The sequence below is a fragment of the Homo sapiens genome, chromosome 2 (assembly GCF_000001405.40).
Source record: "Homo sapiens chromosome 2, GRCh38.p14 Primary Assembly".
NCBI lineage: Eukaryota > Metazoa > Chordata > Mammalia > Primates > Hominidae > Homo > Homo sapiens.
Window position 1 is genome coordinate 83740157 of NC_000002.12, and position 5417 is coordinate 83745573.

The following is a 5417-nucleotide window of genomic DNA, read 5'->3' on the forward strand; positions in this document are numbered from 1 at the left end:
CTTCCTAAATACAATGGGGTACAGGCATTGGGTAAATACCCCCATTCCAAATGAGAGAAATTGGTCAAAATGAAGGCACTACAGGAGCCATGAAATTCCAAAATCCAATAGAGCAGTCATTAAACCTTAAAGTTCCAAAATGATCTTCTTTGTCTCCATGTCTCACATCCAGGTCACATTGATGCAAGAGGTAGGCTCCCATGGCCTTGAGCATCTCCACCCCTGTGGCTTTGCAGGGAATAGCCCCCCTCTAGGCTGCTTTCACGGGCAGATGTTGAGTGTCTTCAGCTTTTCCAGGTGCAGAGTGTAAGCTTTCAGTGGATCTATCATTCTGGGGTCTGAAGGATGGTGGCCTTCTTCTCACAGTTTCACTAGGTGGTGTCCCAGTGGGGACTCTGTGTCAGGGCTCCAAAATCACATTTTCCTTTCACACTGCTCTAGCAGAGGTTCTCCATGAGGGCTTCTCCCCTGCAGCAAACTTCTGCATGGACATCTAGGTGTTTCCATACATCCTTTGAAATCTAGGTGGAGGTTCTCAAACCTCAATTCTTGTCTCCTGTGCACCCGCAGGCCCAACACCATATGTAATCCACCAAGGGGCTTGTATCCTCTGAGGCAATGGCCTGAGCTCCAGCTACAGCTGGAGCTGAAGCAGCTAGGATGCAGGGCATCATGTCCTGAGGCTGCATAGAGCAGGAAGTCCCTGGGGCCAGCTCAGGAAACCATTTTTCTCTCCTAGGCCTGCAGGCCCGCAATGGGAGGGTCCACTGTGAAGGTCTCTGACATGCCTTGCAGACATTTTCCTTGTCTTGGTAATTAACATTTGGCTCCTCATTACTTATGCAAATTTATTCAGTGAGCTTGAATTTCTCCCCAGAAAATGGAGTTTTCTTTTCTATCACATTATCCGGCTGCAAATTTTCCAAACTTTTATGCTTTGCTTCCTCTTGAACACTTTGCTGCTTAGAAATTTATTCCACCAGGTATCCTAAATCATCTCTCTCAAGTTCAAAGTTCCACAGATCTCTAGGGCAGGGGCAAAATGCCACCACTTTACACAGCAAAAGTGACCTTTACTCCAGTTCCCAAAAAGTTCCTCATCTCCTTCTGAGACCACCTCAGCCTGGACCTTATTGTCCATATCACTATCAGCATTTTGGTCAAAGCCATTCAACAAGTCTCTATGAAGTACGAAACTTTCCCACATGTTCCTGTCCTCAGAACCCTCCAAATCTTTAGGAAGTTCCAAATTTTCCCACATTTTCGTATCTTCTCCTGAGCCTTTCCAAACTGTTCCAACCTCTGCCTGTTACCCAGTTCCAAAGTTGCCTCCCCATTTTCAGGTATCTTTACAGCAGCTCTCCACTACCCAGTACCAATTTACTGCATTAGTTTGTTCTCATATTGCTAATGAAGACATACCTGAGACTAGGTAATTTATAAAGGAAGGAGGCTTAATTGACTCACAGTTCAGCATGGCTGGGAGGCCTTATGTCACTTACAATCATGGTGGAAGGGGAAGCAAACACGTCCTTCTTCACATGGTGGCAGGAAGAAGTGCTGAGCAAAAGGGGGAAAAGCCCCTTATAAAACCATCACATCTTGTGAGAACTCACTCACTATTATGAGAACAGCATCATGGGGGTAATCACCCCCATAATTCAATTGCCTCCCACCAGGTTCACCCCAGGACACATGGGGATTATGGGAGCCACAATTCATGATGAGATTTGGGTGGGTACACAGCCAAACCATATCATGACCCAAAAATTAGCAGTTGATAGCAGGACCTTTAAAATATAAGGTTGTTTTAATGGAGAATTTTCCCTAATAGGCAAGATACTGGCTAAAAAGTCTATTTCTCTTCAAGTGTTTAAATATGGGTTGCCATATCAGGTATATATCACCTCAATAATATTTCATAACACTGATATGTAAGATTGAAGAATTTATTTGATGGTGGGACACTGAACACTGATACCCACATGCAGTTAGCTAGGTTCTCAAGCTCTTTGTGGATTGGCTAATTTGAGTTATTTCTATTGACTCTGTATGTTGTCTGCTGCCTGGCCCCAGGGTGATATGGTAGGTGCATGTGAGAGTCAAATACTTAATTAGCTGCTCAAGATGGGGAACTCACTTGTCCCTAGCCAGGGCCTCAAAACTGGGTCAAGACAACATTTTAAAAGAGAGAAAAACTATTGTGTAACAACTAATTCCAAAATTTCACTGGCTTAAAATAATGAGCTGCTCATGCAGCTTTGGATTGGCTCCAGTAGTTCTGCTGATCTTGGCTGAGCTCTTCTGGGCTTGGCTCCATGCCACCTGTTTACTTCAGGTCTGTTTCACATGCATCTCATTCTTTGGGGATCTGAAAGACACTTGGGATATGAGCTCACGGCTACAGCAGAAACACAAAAGGGCAGGTCCAGTCATGTAAGTATTTTTAAAGCCACTCCTTGCATTGTGTCTGCCAACATCCCATTTACCAAAAGACGGCATACAGCAGAGTCCAAAGGCAAAGGGCAGAAATATGTACACCCTGCCTCTAGTGGGAAGAATTTAAATGTCATATGGCAAAGGATATAGATACAGGGAGAGTGAGGAACTGGGAACCATAATTCAATCTATCACAGATGAAAAAGAGAGAAGAGGAAGAGAGAGATTGAAGACAGAGTTGGTGATTGTTAGAAAGGATAAGGGCAAGAGTAGGAAGATGCAGAGCTTCACCAGGTGATGTTCATGAAGAGGCACCAATGAAAGAATTTCAGAGTCTCTTAATGAGATGAAAAGGTAACATACTCCCCAGTCATTGTGTATTCTGCATGACCTTTTAAACCCAAGCTTCCTGCGGTTCTTCCATACTTAAGTCTTGGCATTATTATCTTCCTTGGTTATCTTGAGGAACAGTATCCAGCATCAGTTTTCTGTTTCCATGTTTCTTAGTGCATCTTTTCTCATTAAAGACCATGGTTGATACAACCCTCAGATTCTATATTTGAGCTTGAATTTCTAGTCCCTTTTGTCAGTGAAGAAGATAAGAGAAAATAGAAAAGAATTGCATTTGTTGGCATTTTTGGGGAGTCCCTTCATTTGTATTCTCTCTTCATTTATCACTGTACTTCCTGTCAGTCAACTCTGTTAGACTTCCCCAGTTTTCCTTTCTGTCAATGACTTCTTTCCTCTCATCCCTTCTTACTCCCTCTCATGTTTTCTATCTTTCTGTTCTTCCAGGTCATTTTTACCCCAATTCCTATTATTTTAATGCCTTTGTCCCTTCATGCACTCCATTGTAGCTTACTTCCTACTATTCTCCAACTCCATTTATTTTATCTTACCTTTTCCCCTTCCTCCTTCTAAAAGGGCCTCCTAAAAAGTTAGGTTGATTAAATAAAATCATTAGAGTTACTTTTAATACTACCATTTTTCATCATTATAAATGTTTTAAGGGTTTCTTGCAGTGGAGTGATAGTTTCTTGTTCCCCTAAAGTACAGAAGGACTATCAGGTCTCTGCTTAACTCTGGCCACTTATCATTAGAGAAACGAATGTCCCTGCAGTTGCTGCCTAACCAGATTGCAGTTCTGCTGGGCTGCAGCTACTGGAGGGAACATTTTAAATCACAGCAAACTTTGAAGTATGAGGCTGGGGAGATAGGGTCAAAACAATCCTAATTTCCCAGGTGAGTGTGGCATCACAAAAAAAAAAAAAAAAAAAAAGGGATTATGACCTGAATTGGTCTTCAGGGCTAGATTACAGAGAATCACCATAACTTCAGCAAAGCTTTAACCCTCACCACCCCCGTGTATTCTCCAGGGAGAAAGTGTCTTCCTGTTACTGGCTGTCCTTACAGAAAAACATGCTTTTATTATTCCCTTGGACGAGGGACCTTTCATATTCAATCTCACAGGCAAGCTACAGCTCTTTCTGCTATAACAGAGCTCTGTAATTACAGTTATTAATCTTAAAATCATGGGCTCTAATTTAAAAGGTTTCTTGTAACCTGAAAGTCTTTCAAAATATAATGGTGCAAAAAATAAATCACTCTCTGCAAGTGGCATCTATGCTTGGTAAATGCCGGCAGTAAGAAGGATATAAACGTATTCCCCAAACAGGTACCATAAACTGAGAAATAACACAGTGTCAACCATAAACATGTCTTTGCCATAGCCTTGCCTAAAAATCTTCTCACTCACAAACCTGAGAGAAGCCTTTCAAATGCTATTTCAAAAAGAAAATCAATAAACCTGCAGAAAGTCTAGCTGCCCTGAAAAGTTTCCACCATATCTCCATGTCTGCTGCATTTTCCAGCATCATTTCCTCTCCTCCTTTATCACTCCCTTTCTCTCCAGTCACTGCTCCATCACTGGGATGAGACAAGCACCCCTCGGTACCAATCAACACAGTGCAGGTCTTCTCTGAAGAAAAGCAAACTCTTTTTCCTAAAGTATTTCACAAGCTGCCTGCCTGCCTACTCTATTCTATGTAATGAAGGCATTTAGTTCTCTATATGTGTATAGATGGAAAGAGTAGAATAGGGACTCCGTGGGGGATGAGTGCAAAGTGACCTGGTCTCATATGCTTTTCTCTCATCTTGGCTCCTTGACTAGTCATCCTGCTTACCTAGTCAGTCCTATCATTTTACTAAGTGCTTATCTGCCTGAGCTAACTGTCTTGAATGTGATTCCTTGCTGGGATACATTCCATTCCAAATTGGGCACATTATTTTTCAGAATCTTCTCCTTTCTATATTTTGGGTATGCTCATTCTTCAACTTTTACCCCACAACAATATTCAGGCTTCTCCTATAGCTAATAGTTGTTCACACCGTGTTGTGACAGTATGCATTCGCATCTCGATTAGACAATTCATGATGAGGAGGCAGTGGGACATTGTCATTATAAATGACAGAGTAGAGCTTTCAGAATCTTCAAAGCCAACATGCTGTGCACATACTGACTTTGTTATACTGCCTACCTCCTAACACTTGCTGAGGAATGATAAAATGCAGAAACATTGAATTCACTGCATGTATATTTGGAGGTGGCGGGGAAGAGAGGAAACTGGAAAATCAGTAAGATCAGCTGTTTTGGAAGTGTGGGGCTATGATAAGATCTTAAAATCTTTGTCTAAAATAACTAAGAAACAAGACTCTTGAGTTCATATTTGTAATGAGTTAAAATTGATGAAGCCTTGTATCACTGCCTGGCCTTTATGTGAGGGTTTGCTTAATAAATAAATAAATAAGTGTCTCTTTTCCTGGAGCAGATACAAACACTGGCACTAATATAAAGGAGAGACCATGCCATGAATGAAGAAAGGAGTTTTTAATTTGATAACACATGATAGCTAATTATTAAATGCTAAAGTTTAATTTCGGTGTATTTCAGTGGATAATACATTGACAGTAAAAATATG

General features: G+C 41.5%; 1 annotated feature.

Annotated features, from left to right (window-relative positions):
* Positions 4582 to 5126: an enhancer, noted in NCBI's record as "NANOG hESC enhancer chr2:83971862-83972406 (GRCh37/hg19 assembly coordinates)". NCBI's record gives its function as "activates a minimal SCP1, AML or CMV promoter by ChIP-STARR-seq in primed H9 embryonic stem cells {active_cell/tissue: H9 hESC(primed)}" and the evidence as "EXISTENCE:reporter gene assay evidence [ECO:0000049][PMID:30033119]".